The sequence below is a fragment of the Homo sapiens genome, chromosome 1 (assembly GCF_000001405.40).
Source record: "Homo sapiens chromosome 1, GRCh38.p14 Primary Assembly".
Classification (NCBI taxonomy): domain Eukaryota; kingdom Metazoa; phylum Chordata; class Mammalia; order Primates; family Hominidae; genus Homo; species Homo sapiens.
This window is the reverse complement of record NC_000001.11, coordinates 240013262-240028858: the sequence shown is the minus strand read 5'-3', so window position 1 is coordinate 240028858 and position 15597 is coordinate 240013262.

Below are 15597 nucleotides of genomic sequence, written 5' to 3'. Positions count from 1 at the left end.
GCTTTTATTATTTATTTTGCTTCAGTTTCTTGCCATTCTCCGAGAGAATTCCAATGACTGGTCATTTTTAGATAGAAGTGGGTTTTAGCTTGTAAGGGCTGGTACACTGATTTTTTTTTGATTGAATAATTAATATACTTGTGGAAATCTCTGCTTAGTTTAGGTAAAACTCTGGTTTTCTTAAAAATTATAAAAGATTTGTAAAACCTAGAGATTCAAGTCATCTGAGCTTTTTTCAATGTTTAAATACAGAATTTAGATGTATTTAATTCCCATGGCCAAAGGGTAGAGTTAGAAAGTGCAATACCTTTATAATTTTTAATATTTACAGTCTATTACTTATATATTAATTACTAATTGATATTAACCACATGCTTTTTAAATATGAAGATAATATTGTGAGACTAATTTTTGTTTATTGTGAATCCTAAATACTGTATCAAGGAATTTTCAGATTTTAAAAATTACATCAGGCTGGGCCTACAGTGTAATCAGTGTTCTCTAGTTGATGTTCCCATTGATATGAAAGGTAGTATATGTTGCATTTATCAGAGCGAACCTCTTTTAGGTTTACTTTAAATTTTATTGTTAAATGCAGAGACAGATTACAGTTCAGCATCTTCCCATCCAGAAGCATGATAAGATTCCTGTTGTGTTCTAGAACTAACTGTTGCACGTAAAATGTTGAGTGAAAATGCAAATAGTTTATAACCTTTTAGGATTTTTGTTTTATGCAGAATTCATCTCTCTAACTTGTATACCTTCTTGATTCCTTTAAAAAATATCTAACACTTAACACAAGTATGAATAGAACTAAACTAGAAACTGAATTAATCACTAATTTAATTCAGGCATTACTAATTAATGTACCTATCAGTCTATTAGGGCTACGGAAGGCACAATACCAGTCCTGATTCTAAGCCACTCTTCATACTAATTGGCAAAGCATGACATATCTGTGGTAGAGAGTGAGAATATAATTCAAATCTAAACAGGTGCTATAGCTATTCAAAATTTAAACTTTGATCAATGGGATCAATATTCATGACATATTATTAAGCAAAAAACACATTTATAGTAGAATTCAATTTTTATTCTGTATATATTATTTATTACAGATAGGACTATATATGTTTTATAGAGAAAGGACATATATAAAGGACATGCAAATATATATAATATACATAAAATATTCACTGAAGTACAGTATCTTTGGAGGTTAGCCAGTAATTAGCACCTTTTCCTAAAGTTATAAGAATAACATGCTCAAGCTTGTTTTCCCAATGTCTAACAGTTTTGGATATTGAAACTCGTGTATCTAGGAAAAATAAATTAATCACCAGCTGTGCAGTGAAGTGTGTGCCCCAATATTTGGTGTTAGCATCCAACATTCATGCTGCACATTGCAGAAATTGGTAGAAATGCCCTTCAGAATGCTCTTGCTACTGAAAATGGGAGAAAGATGAAAGAGGACAGTACAGAATTAAGGGACTATTTACCCAATTTTCAACGTTTAGCTGGAAAGGAACATGGAATAGTCTAAAAGAGTGGGATATATAACTGTAATGAGTTTGTAAGTTATATTGTTGCAAAATGATGAACAGAGTTTTATTGTTTTAGAGGTTTCCTGTTGATCTTTGTTTTTTTTTAAAAAAACCTGACCTCAGTGGATTTCACGGCTGTAGGATGGTGGCCACTGCCACCTACAGACCAGAAGTGTGAAGTGGCGTGGCTCTTTTGCAGTGGAGTCCCTCAGAGACTCGGCATCAAACGTTCTATAAAAAGCAATTTTTCAAGCAAAAGTTGAAAGAATTTCAAATGAAATAGTAAATATTCTAGAGAAATAAAAAATGAATAATCACATTTTCCCCAGAGATCACTCTTTGACAGTATATAGCATATATATTAGAAGATTAACACCTAATTTATATTTTGAGTCAGACATACACATCTGACCACAAGACTGGACCCACCTAATATTTCCTTTATTCACCTCATTTTTTATGAGGTGAATATGTGGAGGGGAGAATTACATTTTGCAACAGAAATTTGCATCCACAATGAAATACACACTCACACAGACACACATATATATGATTGAAGGGACAAGCAGATGGTAGGTAGGTAGGTAGATAGACAAGCAGACAGAATTATAGATATGAAAGGGGGGAATCTATACAGACAAAATGTTTATATAGATTATCTCTTAGTATTAGAATTACAGATTATTTCTGCTACTTTGATTCTTCTTGCTTCATTTTATTTTAAAAATTCTACAATGAAAATATACTCCTTGTGTAGGGATTTTTTTCTAACTTGAAGGCAGAGCTTTGAAAATCAATGCCCGCATAACATAAAGCTTTTAAAGTCTTGCTCCAGGTAGAAAAGAAAATACTAAATCTTCAAATATTCCTGGCATACATTATTTTTTAATTTAAACATACACTTAAAAGCACCCAATTTTATTATTTTTCCAAAAGATTTTAGAAAATTATACACAGTAATGCCTCATTCCATTGACTGTAAGAGTTTCATTTCTCATAGTAACCATGTATACTAAAATTTAATCAGTAACAGATAATCTATTATGTCATGGTATTAAAAGGTTACATAGGTAAAGGTTAATAATCAGATCGTGAATTTTGGCTAAACATCATTCATTCATTTAATAAAAACATATTGAGTACCTACCATGACAATGATACTAGAAATACAAAGGTGAACACATAAATACAAAAACAAATATAACAAAGAAAAAAAACAAAAAAAGTCAACTCAAGATTTCTGGGTAGTTTTGTTGACCATTGTGCATATTTTCTGTGCTTCGCTGAATATCCAACTCTAATTAGTTGTCTCAGAACAGAGCTAAGTAGGACTCCGTCACTTGCCAAGAAACAAACAATGATACTCCAAGATCCACAAGAGTAAAAATCACTGCAAGGTCCCCTCCCTGCCATTTCAGGATTTAAAATATCTGTGAAAAATGGAGGGACTCTTTTTGAGTCATTGATAGAGAAATAACATAGATCCTAAGGTTTCCTTCAACCTCTTCCTGCCCCACCCCTGCCCCTCTGCAGAATTGGTCCTGCCCAGTCTCTGAGCTGGTGAGAATGAAGCCTGGTGTCCACTAGGCCCTTAGCTCTGAAAGCAGGTGTCTGGTTTGGGGTTTGATGCCTAACACTGTTATCCATTGCCCAGGGAGCTGCAGGCCTCTCTATAAACCTATAATCTGTGTCCATGTGGTTGAGTTTCTTGCCTGGTTCCTGGTTTATGTCTGAATCTTGTCTAATCCTAGATTTTCTTGCTCTCTGCTGATGTGGCAGGGGTTTAAACACCAAGCCTGGCTCCTGCTGCTCTTCTCCAGTGGGTTGGACCCTGCCCTCTCTCTCTGGTCTCTGCCTCCTGCAAAACGAACTTTCCTGAAACCGAAAGGAACCCATCCATCATATATGGTCAGTGTCAGAGACTGTGCCCTCAACACTTAAAGTTTCAAGACCTTTGGAAATTGATGTCATTGCTGTCCTGCCCTGGGTGTCACATCCCCCAGGGATTTGGCATTAGGATGACTGCTCCTTACCTGGGGGCAGGCCTATCATCAGGTTGGTTTCCTCCTTTCCAACTTTGTCTATTAGAGGCATATCCCACTTTCCCCACTTAGCCGGTGCCTACAGACTTGCCCTTGAGCTCCCATCTTCTTAGGAACCAGGGTTATTTGCTCTCCATTCACTTTTTCATTCCCATGGCTCCATCTTGTAATTTTGCCCAATGTGCATAATGTATAAAGTTCCATCATGAGACATTCATGAGGGATATATCCTGAGGCCACCTGATGCCCAGCTTGCTTTCCTTCCTTCCTTCCTTCCTTCCTTCCTTCCTTCCTTCCTTCCTTCCTTCCCTCCCTCCTTCCCTCCCTCCCTTCCTTCCCTCCTTCTTTTTTTTTTTTTTTTGACAGAGTCTCGCTTTGTCACCCAGGCTGGAGTGCAGTGGCATGATCTCGGCTCACTGCAAGCTCCGCCTCCTGAGTTCAAACCATTCTCATGCCTCAGCCTCCCAAGTAGCTGGGACTACAGGCACCCGCCACCACGCCTGGCAATTTTCTTTTTTTTTTTTTGTATTTTTAGTAGAGACGGGGTTTCGCCATGTTGGGCAGGTTGGTCTCAATCTCCTGACCTCAGGTGAGCCACCTGCCTCGGCCTCCCAAAGTGCTGGGATTACAGGCGTGAGCCACTGTGCCCGGCCTATGACCAACTTTCAAAGCTACTCTGGTACTTCATAGCAGTGATTATGCACGCAAGAGAAAATAGGAAACAGCAATAGCAACACTGGGTTGAGTGCGGACACAGTGCACTCGGCATGTGGGTCAGTTTCTCAGCTGGCTAAGGAAATCGTGCACACCAACTTGAGAGTCTTCAGATTTCAAAACTGCAAGTAAGCCCTGCAGTATGATTCTCCAAATCCTTTCAAGCAGTTGCAAACCCGCAAATCAATGTTTCTCTGTTTGTATGTTTCACAATGCCTTCCATCTTATATCCAGCATGGGAAAAATGAATTCATTGTCACAAGCGGTTCATTTGCCATGGCTTGAACCCGATGAATGCAACGTGCAGAAGCTGAGATATGCTGTCTTTGTGTTCAGTTCTGGCCCGAGCTTCCCCAAAGCAAAACTCAGCCTTCCTATTGACCATTTATAAAGGTCTCATGGTTAACAATAATTTACATTTTATACATATGAAGTTATCATTAAAGAACCAAAGTGAACTGCATTTGATGTTGTAGAGACAGGTCATTAAGCTGACAGAGGAGGGTTCTGGGAGAACCAACAGCACTGACATCAGCCATCCTTCTCATTCTTAATTTTAAAGGTTTTGAGGAACTTATCATATAATTGGTTTTCATTTATTTTTCTTTTCTTGAGTTTCCATTTTACTTCTAATTTAAGCATGGAGGCTATGTTATTATCAATTTGTAAATGATTTCTTGAATTACATTTAAAATATTAGGTTTTGTAATCTTTCTACTCTCTTTATAGAAGTTTCTGTGTTGGGAACAACCATTTTTTAAAATCTGGTTTCATAAAGAATGTTATAATACTTTTCTTAATATAGGTATAAGTCTAGATATTTTTTGACTTCTAAGCCTTTGTGACATCTGGTAGATAAAGTCACTTAAAAGTTTCTAAGTAAATATCACCTCATTTGATATTTTTCCACATCTGAATACAACACAAGTAACTTTGGTTAGAGACATAGGAAGATAGAAAGAAAGAAAGAAAGAAGCCTGAATTTAATACAAAATATCTTTTATGTTCCTACTTTACATATAATATTATCCAAGTGACTTAGGATAAAACTTTAAGCATTTATTCACTGACTCACTCAGCACCGCTATTGAACCTCTACCATGTACCAGACACCCTGATAGCTGCTAGACAGTGGCCTACACTAGTGAATATATCATGAGAAATGCCTTCTTCCTATAACTTGTAATCAGTGGATTCAAAGAACCCTAAGTTACTATTTACTATGTATATTCATGATGATTATTGCTTTACATGGATTATTATTTAATCTTCAAAACCATTATTATCTGTTTTTTAATTTTTGTAACTTTTAAGTTCAGCGGTACATGTGCAGGATGTGCAGCTTTGTAACATAAGTAAATGTGTGTCATGGGGGTTTGTTACCCAGGTTATTTCATCACCCAGGTATTAAGCCTAATGTCCATTAGTTATTTTTCCTGATCCTCTCTCTCTTCCCACCCTCCACCCTCCGATAGGTCCCAGTGTCTGTTGTTCCCCTCAATGTGTGCATATGTTCTCATCATTTCGTTCCCACTTGCAAGTAAGAACTGGCCATATTTGGTTTTCTGTTCCTGTGTTAGTTTGTTAAGGATAATGGCCTCCAGCTCCATTTGTGTCCCTACAAAGGACATGATCTCATTCTTTTTTTATGGCTGCATAGTATTCCATGTATATGTACCATATTTTCTTTGTCTAGTCTATCATCAATAGGCATTTAGGTTGATTCCATGTCTTTCTTATTGTGAATAAATAGCAAATCATAAACATACATGTCCATATGTCTTTATAATATAATGATTTATATTTCTTTGGGTATATACCCAGGAATGGAATTGCTGGGTCTAATGGTATCTCTGTCTTTAGGACTTCGAGGAGCTGTTACACTGTCTTCCACAATGGTTAAACTCATTTACACTCCAACAGTGCATAAGCATGTCATTTTCTCTACAAGCTAGCCAGTAACTCTTATTTTTTGGCTTTTAAATAATAGTCATTCTGACCAGTATGATATGGTATCTCATTGTGGTTCAGATGTGCATCTCTCTAATGATCATTGATGTTGAGTTTTTTTTATATGACTGTTGGCCATAGGTATGTCTTCTTGAGAAATATCTGTTTATGTCCTTTGCCCACTTTTTAATGGGGTTGTTATTTTTCCTTATAAATTTGTTTAAGTTCCTTATAGATGCTGGATATTAGACCTTTGTCAGATGGGTAGATTGCAAAAATTTTCTCCCATTCTGTAGGTTGTATGTTCACTCTTTTGATAGTTTCTTTTGCTATGCAGAGGCTCTTTAGTTTAATTAGATCCCATTCTTCAATTTTTGCTTCTGTTGCAATTGCTTTTGCAAAGCCATTATTGTCTCTGTTTTATATGGAACCTGAGACAAGAGAGGTATGTAGCATACATGAAATTGCACAGTAAGTGGTGAAAGCAGAATTTGTATCTAGTTGCAGTCTAACTATAATGCTGTTGAGTGAAGAAAATGAGATGATTCCTCCCTTCTGTTTTCTTATTAGCTAAAGAATAAACAAAATAAGGTATATGAAGGTTGGTAGTGGAGGTACTCCCTAAGTTGCCCAGACATTCTCACGGATTAGTGAGTAATAATCGGGATAATGTGGGCAGGGAGGAGGGCAGTATTTGAAGTGGAGATCTATGACGACTCAGTCTCTGGGGACAGTGCTGGATCAACTTGATTCTTCACCTTAAAGAAGACCTTGTCCTCCACAGCATGACTTTCAATTAATTTCTCCTCCCCAGCATTTTGCATTTCAGAACTGAGAAGTGCTTCAGGGAACAAAATTTCTATGGATGCATTAAACATAAGAAAATCAGGCTGTGGGACACTTAGACTGACCATCTGAAGAGCTGTATAAAACCCTGGATTCAAACAGGGAAGGGCCATTTTCTTTCTTTCTTTCTTTCTTTTTTTTTTTTTTTTTTTGAGACTGCATTGTTCTTGAGACTGAGTCTCACTCTGTCACCCAGGTTGGAGTGTAGTGGTCAATCCTGGATCACTGCAACTTCTGCCTCCCAGGTTCAAGCAATTCTCTGGCCTCAGCCTCCCGAGTGGCTGGGATTACAAGCGTGCGCCACCAGGCCTGGCTAATTTTTGTATTTTTAGTAGAGATGGGGTTTCACCATGTTGGCCAGGCTGGTCTCGAACTCCTGGCTTCATGTGATCCACCCTTCTCGACCTCCTAAAAGTGCTGGCATTACAGGCATGAGCCACCGTGCCCAGCTGGGTCATTTTCTTTTTATGTATTTTTTTTTTTTCAGTTGAAAATCTGAGATTGAAAACCAAATTAATGAATGGAGAAATCTCACATGCTTCATGCCAAGAGTCACTCATTACAGAGCAGGGGAAAGCCTTCCTTTAATTGAAATAAACTATCACAAGTGAAAAAGAGTATTGGAGGAGAGTTTATTTATGTATCTCAGGTGAAACCATCACCCACCCTGTGCACCGAGGCTGTCAAGCTTCCTCAGGGGACAGCACTCCATCTGCCTCAAGTGAAGTTAATCTCCTTTCTATCTTTTTAAAACTAAGGTGAGCAGATGTTTCTTTTCAAATCAACATGTCCTTAGTCTTTGACTTACATAGCGAGCCACATACTGCCGAGCATAAACCACTTAACACCAAAAGGAAACTACATATTCTATTAGTTCAATGAAACAAAGTGGAAAATAAGCTAAATGCAGAGCTTTTTATTACCATTAAATAGTTGATCAAAATAAGCAGAGTTAAATAAAAGGGACAAACCTGAGTAAATAAAGTTTTCATTTCTGCCCAGGAATATAAATATATATATAAATATAAGATAGAAGTCATGTTGATTATTCCAGCATTTCCCAACAGATAGTTGAGGAATTTCTTTCCAATATTTTTATTGCACCACCTGGTGGAATATTTTCCATATGATTGATATTTGAGAAGCAAATAAGCGCTGATTTCTCTTCATCTTTTTTGTGTTTTACTTAGAAGGTTGGTTAAATTAGGGAGAATTTCATGTTGCTATTTCTACTCTCTTTTATGAATAACTTGCCTTGCCCTTCAGTTAAGTGTTCGTAGAGAAGACTATCTAAATTATTCACTGTGGAAGTACACATCATCACATGTGATGGGATATTGTTAATCGTTAAACAAGAAGGAGGCTCTGGTGCATGCTACCACATGGATAACCTTGAAAACATTATGCTAAATGAAATAAGCCAGACACAAAAGTGCAAATATTGCATGATTCCACTTATATGAAGTTCCTAGAATAAGAAAATTCATAGATAGAATGTGGCCTGGAGTTTACCAAGAGCTGGATATAGTGGGGGAAAGGGGAGTTAATTGTTAGTGGGCACAGAATTTCACTTTGGGATGATAAAAAGTTCTGAAAAAGATTGTGGTGCTATTTGCATAACAGTGTGATTGCACTGAATGTCGCTGACCCATACACTTAAAAATGGTTGAAATGGTAAATTTTACATTACATTCATTCTATCATAATTTTTTTCCAACTTTTATTTTACTTTCAGGGTGTGTATGTGCAGATTTGTTATGTGGGTAAACTGTGTATTGTGGGGGTTTGGTATACAGATTATTTTGTCACCCAGTTAGTGGGAATAGTACCTGACAGGTAGTTTTTCAAACCTCATTTTCCCTCCACCCTCAAGGTAGGCCTGGGTCTATTGTTCCCTTTTTTGTGTCCATGTGTACTTAATATTTAGCTCTCACTTATAAATGAGAACATGCAGTATTTGGCTTTCTGTTCCTGCATTAATTCACTTAGAATAAAGGCCTCTAGCTCCATCTGTGTTGCTGCAAAGACATAATTTTGTTCCTTTTTATGGCTGTATAGTATTCCATGGTGTATATGTACCACATTTTCTTTATCCAGTCCACCACAATATTTTAAAATTGCCAAATAAAGTACACATGAACATATATATTTTACATACTTAATTCCTAAGTAGCAAATAATTTTGTTAAAATTCTTTCTAAGAAGTTCAAATTCTAAATCTTAACCTCATATATATGTTGAGAGAATCAAAGTAGCTGTGGAAATATTTAAGAAATTAAGAGTAAGAAGGCAGAGAAAAAAATGGTGAACAGGCCATGTGCAGTGGCTCATGCCTGTAATCCCAGCACTTTGGGAGGCTGAGGTGGGCAGATCACGAGGTCAGGAGATCGAGACCATCCTGGCTAACACAGTGAAACACCGTCTCTACTAAAAACACAAAAAATTAGCCAGGTGCGGTGGCGGGCGCCTGTAGTCCCAGCTACTTGGGAAGCTGAGGCAGAAGAATGGCGTGAACCCGGGAGGCGGAGCTTGCAGTGAGCCAAGATAGCACCATTGCACTCCGGCCTGGGCAAAAGAGTGCAACTCCATCTCAAAAAAGAAAAAAAAATGGTGAACACCAGCTCTGTTAATCATACAGCTTTGGACAGTGTGAGGAGACCAATCACTTCAAATTGCCCTCAAAAATATTGGCAGGATAGAGAGTTAGCAGCATTTTGGACTTGTCTGAGAATTAAAATGTCCTTTTAATTTATTTTCCAATTTAAAAAATTTGTGGTAAAACACACATAATGTAAAGTTTACCATCTTAATCATTTTCAAGTGTACAGTTCAGTGGTATTAAATACATTCATAATGTGTCACTATCGCCACCATCCATCTCCTGAACCCTTTTTATCTTGTAAAACTGAAATCCTACACTCATTAAATAATAACTTCCTATTACTCCCTTAACCTTGGCACTTGGCAACAACCATTCTACTTTCTGCCTCTATGATTTTGACTATGCTGAGTACATCATATTAGTGCAATCACATAGTATTTGTCTTTTGTAACTGGCTTATTTCATTTATAAAGTCCTCAAGTTTCATCCATGTTGTAGCATATATCAGAATTTTCATTTTAAAGGCTAAATCATGAAGGAATAGAAAATCTGAATATACCTATAACTTGTAAGTGGAATAAATCAATAATCAAAAATTTTCCAATTAAGAAAAGCCATGGACCTGATAGTTTCACTGGTAAATTCTATCAAATATTTAAAGAACTACCAACAATTTTTACCAAACTTTTCTAAAAACTTGAAGAGAAGGGAACACCTCCTAACTCATCAGAGTCCTGATACCAAAACCAAAGACACTATGAGAAAACAAAACTACAGACCAGTAGCTCTTATGCACATTGATGCAAAAATACTAAAAAAATTACTAACAAACCAAATTCAGCAGCATACTAAAAAGATTATACACTATGGCCAAGTAGAATGAATTCTTGGAAGGCAAGGATGGTTCAACATATGAATATCAATCAATGTAATACATTACATTAACAGAATGAAGGAAAAAACATATAATCATCTCAATGGATGCAGAAAAGGCATTTAACAAAATTCAAAACCGATTCATGGTAATAACACTTAACAAACTACGAATAGAAGGAAATTACCTCAAAATAACAAAAGCCACATATGAAAAAAACCCCAGCAAACATCATATTCAATGGTGAAAGACTAAAAGTTTTTCTCTAGGATTGGGAACAAGACAAGGATGTCCACTTTCACCAATTCTAATGAACATAGTACTAGAAGATATATTCAGAGAACCTAGGCAAGAAAAAAAAGGGGCATTCAAATAAGAAAGGAAGAAGTAAAATTATCTCTGCAGATGACCAGATATTATATTCCTAAAGATTTCACACAGTTGTTAGAACTAATAAATGAATTCAGCAAATAGGATACAAAGTGACAAATAAAAAAATCAGCTGCATTTTATACACTAATAATGAACAATTAAAAAAGGAAATTATGAAAACAATTCCACTTATAATAGCATCAAACATAATAAAATACTTAGGAATTAATTTAACCAAGAAGATGACAGACTAGTATAATGAAAACTATAAAATACTGCTGAAAGAAATTAATGAAGACATGAATAAATGGAACCACATCCCATGTTCACAGATTGGAGGACTTAATATTGTTAACATGTTAATACCACACAAGGTGATCTATAGATCAATGTATTCCCTATAAAAGTTCCAATGACATTGTTTGCAGAAATAAAAAAACCCTCATTTTAAAATTTATATGCAATCTCAAGAGACCTGGAATAGCAAAAACAATCTTGAAAAATAACAAAGCTGGAAGACTGACACTTTCTTATTCCAAAACTTACTGCAAAGCCACAGTAATCAAAACAGTGTTGTACTGTCTTAAAGACAGACATAGAGACCAATAGAATAAACTAGAGAGATCAGAAATAAATCCTCACATACATGGTAAAATCATTTATGACAAGGGTGCCAAGACCATTCTATGGAGAAAGGACAGTCTTTTCAACAAATGGTGGTGGGAAAATTATACATCCATATGCAAAAGAATGAAGCTGAACCCTTACCTAACACCATATTCAAAAATTACCTCAAAATGTAACAAAGACCTAAATGTAAGACATGAAACTAGAAAACTCTTAGACAAAAACATAAGCAAATGATTCAGAACATTGGATTTGGTAGTGATTTTTAAATATGACACTAAAGACACAAGAAATTAAAAAAGACCATAAAAAATTTTTAAAAATGTGCACCAATGGATGACCTTTCGACTTAATTAAAAAATTTGAAAGCACAAGGAATTACTTTTTAATTGCCATGATTTAAAAGTAGACATATTTAAGTTTTAACTTTGCATTTAATTTTATATGATGAAATTTATAGGTACATGAGAGAAGAGAGAAAGTGTTATCTTTTTTGCATAAGAATGTAATTTCAGAAATGTAATGATGCAAATTTTTGAATCCTTATGAGATGTATCTGGATGGGCTAAAGTAGGTGTGGAATGGCTCTCCTGGGAGCTCTGTCACAAAGGAAGTCTCTTGTCGAAAATTCAACTTTTACATTGACAGGGCTCTACTGTTTTGGAACACAATTTGACCATTCTTTAAAATGTTAAGCATACTATTACCATATAACACCTCTGTATTATAATTGCCCTACATCTAAGGGCAATCAAACTGAAAAATTTATTCCAATGAAAGAAAAATAACATTTGGAGGCTTAATGAAAATTTTTTTGGTACTAATGCAAAATCAGACCTAGTACTTCTAGGTGTATAGAATTTAATTGCCCTGGGATATACGACAATTTAACTGCCATGGATATAGGGCAATTATAACACAAGGGTGTTAATTGTTAATTGCCCTATATCTAAGGGCAATTCCACCCTTAGACATACACAAGAAAAATAAAAACAGATGTTCATATCAAAACTTAGACATAAATGTTCAAAGTAGCATTATTTATAATCACCAAAAAGTGAAAATAATGGAAATGTCCATCAACACATGTGTGAATAAATAGAATGTGCCAATATTCATACAATGGAATACTACTCAGAAACAAAAAGGAAGTGCTGATCCATGTTATAATATTGACAAACCTTGAAAACATTATGCCAAGTGAAATAAATCAATCACAAAGACTATACACTGTATAATTCCATTATGGAATATCTCCAGAGAAGGTAAATCTAGAGAGTCAGAAAATAAATTATTGTTTGCCTAGGGCCAGGAGTAAGAGGTTGGGAAGTAACTGATAATAGGTATGAGGATTCTTTTGGGGTTGATAAAAATGTTTCAGAACTGATTGTGGTGTTGGTTGCATAACTGTGAATGCACTAAAGCCAATGAATAGCACAATTTAAACTGGGAATTACATAGAATGTAAATTATATTTCAATAAAGTTGTTAAAATGGGGGATCTGGCATTCTGATTTTTTAAAAAATATCTATTTTGGAGATAATATTTAGTTGTTAGTTGGTGAAATTATACACCTAGATGTACTAGGTCTGCTTTCACTTTAGTAGCAAAAAATAATTTGCATTAAGCCTCCAAATGCTTTTTTTTGTCTTTTATTAGAATAAAGAAGTTAAAAATCTACCTTCTGTAAAATTAAATCCATTAAATTGCTTCAGGAGTCAGAGTTATTTGAAAAAATATTTTTATATTTATAATATAATAAGAGAAGAGGGTCTTGCTATGTTGCGCAGGCTGATCTTGAACTCCTAGGCTCAAGCACTCAGCCTCCCAAAGTGCAGGGAGTTCAGGCATGAGCCATTATGTCTGGCCTGATGCTTATATTTTTGATTGAGGAATAGAAACTTAGTGTTAGGTGAATTAGTGCCTGCAAGGCTTGACAAGACGCAAAGTCAATCTGAAGGCAGCGTGAGCTACCCACCACAAGCTCTTGTGTATCACGTGCCCCTTAGAGAAAAATCCTAAAACTGCTACCAAGAAAACTTACAGATGTACCCCCACCCATGAAATATAATCACAAAAGTTTAATCGTAAATTGCAAGCCAATTTTATTCTTAACTTTATGAGACAAAAGAAACAAACAAACAAACAAACAAAAAAACTTCTATCAGCCCGACCTGGGGCTCTAGGATAGAATTAAGCCCTAATAGATGAAGGCATCTATGGTCTAGAATGGTTCTAGTTTTCTACTATTTTACGGAGAGCCAAGACTCAAATTATTTTCTGCATTTGGTGATGCAGATAACTTTGGTTAAGAAAGGTACTAATTTGTTTGCCTTTTGAGATATGATCCTAATTTTCTGAATACAGCTGTTTTTTCACATGTCATGCAATAAACAGTATTTTCACAGGGCACACAGCTAAAAAAAGAACACAGTCTTCTCAGTTTTAAACCCAAGAATTAGAAACTGTGAAAGGCCACTATTAACTCCATTTTTAAAGAGACTCTAGCAAAATTGGATAATAGCAATTTTCACAATTATCATACAATCCTTTTGGTGATTTGTTGATATCTTTTATTTCTGTTCTTCCAGAAGATCAGATCTTTAGAGCATCATCAGAGAAAAGGTCAAATTCACCAACATGCTCATTTTTCAGAAAAACATATTTGTTTGAGACCATCTTACTTTAAAATTAAGTGTTTAACAAAAACAACACCATTAAGTTACAGCCATATCAGTGTGGTTTTTTTGCTCCATATAATTATTGTTTTGTAAATGAAGTCCTGTCATTAAGCTTTAGTTCCACGGAAACTAATATTCTGGAAGACCTACCTTTTAACAGCACTGGGAACCTCTTCAACGTTCATAAATCTCATACTTGGAGCTGACCAAGAGGAAAGAGAGCCGTAGAAAGCGCCTGGGTTCAGCCATTCTGGCGATGGATAAAGGTCTTCTGAAGTCTCTGCTGGTGTGTGTGTTGGGCAGCAGAGCTGGCTTCCTGCCTCCAATTAACTGGTAAATAATATTACAGTCTGGGCTGTTCTGAGCCCAGCTAAGATGGTTTTAGAGTGCTGTTTCTCAGAGAGGATACAGAAAGCTAATCAGAATTGTCAGCATAATTCCTCCCTGCTTAGTGTCAGGAAAGGAGCCTTGTTTATTTCAAATTACTGTGCTCAATAAATATTATTTTGCCATGGGTCACCAGAAACAAAGGTGAACCTACAACGAGTAGTAAGAAAATCTCAAGACATTGTTAACAGTGTTAAATAAAGTTCAGTTCTTCTAAATTAGATTAATTGAGCACCTACTACTGTATATAAAAAGCACCAGCTTGGAATCTGAAGATAGCAAGAAGAATAAGATAATGTCCATTTTGCAAGATAGGTGAAGGGATTGGTGACATTAGGCAAGACACAACCTTTCTTTGGGCCTTAGCTGCCTCACCTGTGAAAGGTGAGGATTTGACCACTTGCTTTCTAAGGTTCCTTTCAGGTTAGAAAGCATTTTGAAAAGCAAACAAGGCTGGGCATGGTGGCTCACGCTTGTAATCTCAGAACTTTGGGAGGCTGAAGCAGGCAGATCACCTGAGGTCAGGGGTTTGAGGCAAGCCTGGTCAACATGGTGAAACCCCGTCTCTATTAAAAATACAAAAATTAGCTGGGCATGGTAGTGCATGCCTGTAATCCCAGCTATTCCAGAGCCTGAAGCAGGAGAATCACGTGAGCCAAGGTTGTGCCACTGCACCCCAGCCTGGGCAACAAGAGCGAGACTCCGTCTCAAAAAAAAAGAAAAAAAAAGTAAACAACAGAATGTCCTTATTCCAGCCATCCCTAAAAAGCAGAGTTAGCTTTACCTTAAATTCCATATTTTAAGTGATAGTCACACACATAAAAGAGAAGCATCTATATGGTCATATTGTTGAAATGATTCTTTGTTGTTTGTATCAGAATTTTGCAGATTATATTTTTTGCTGCCAACTTTTCTTATTCCACCAAGCAGGATAAGCCACATTTTTTTTTTTTTTTT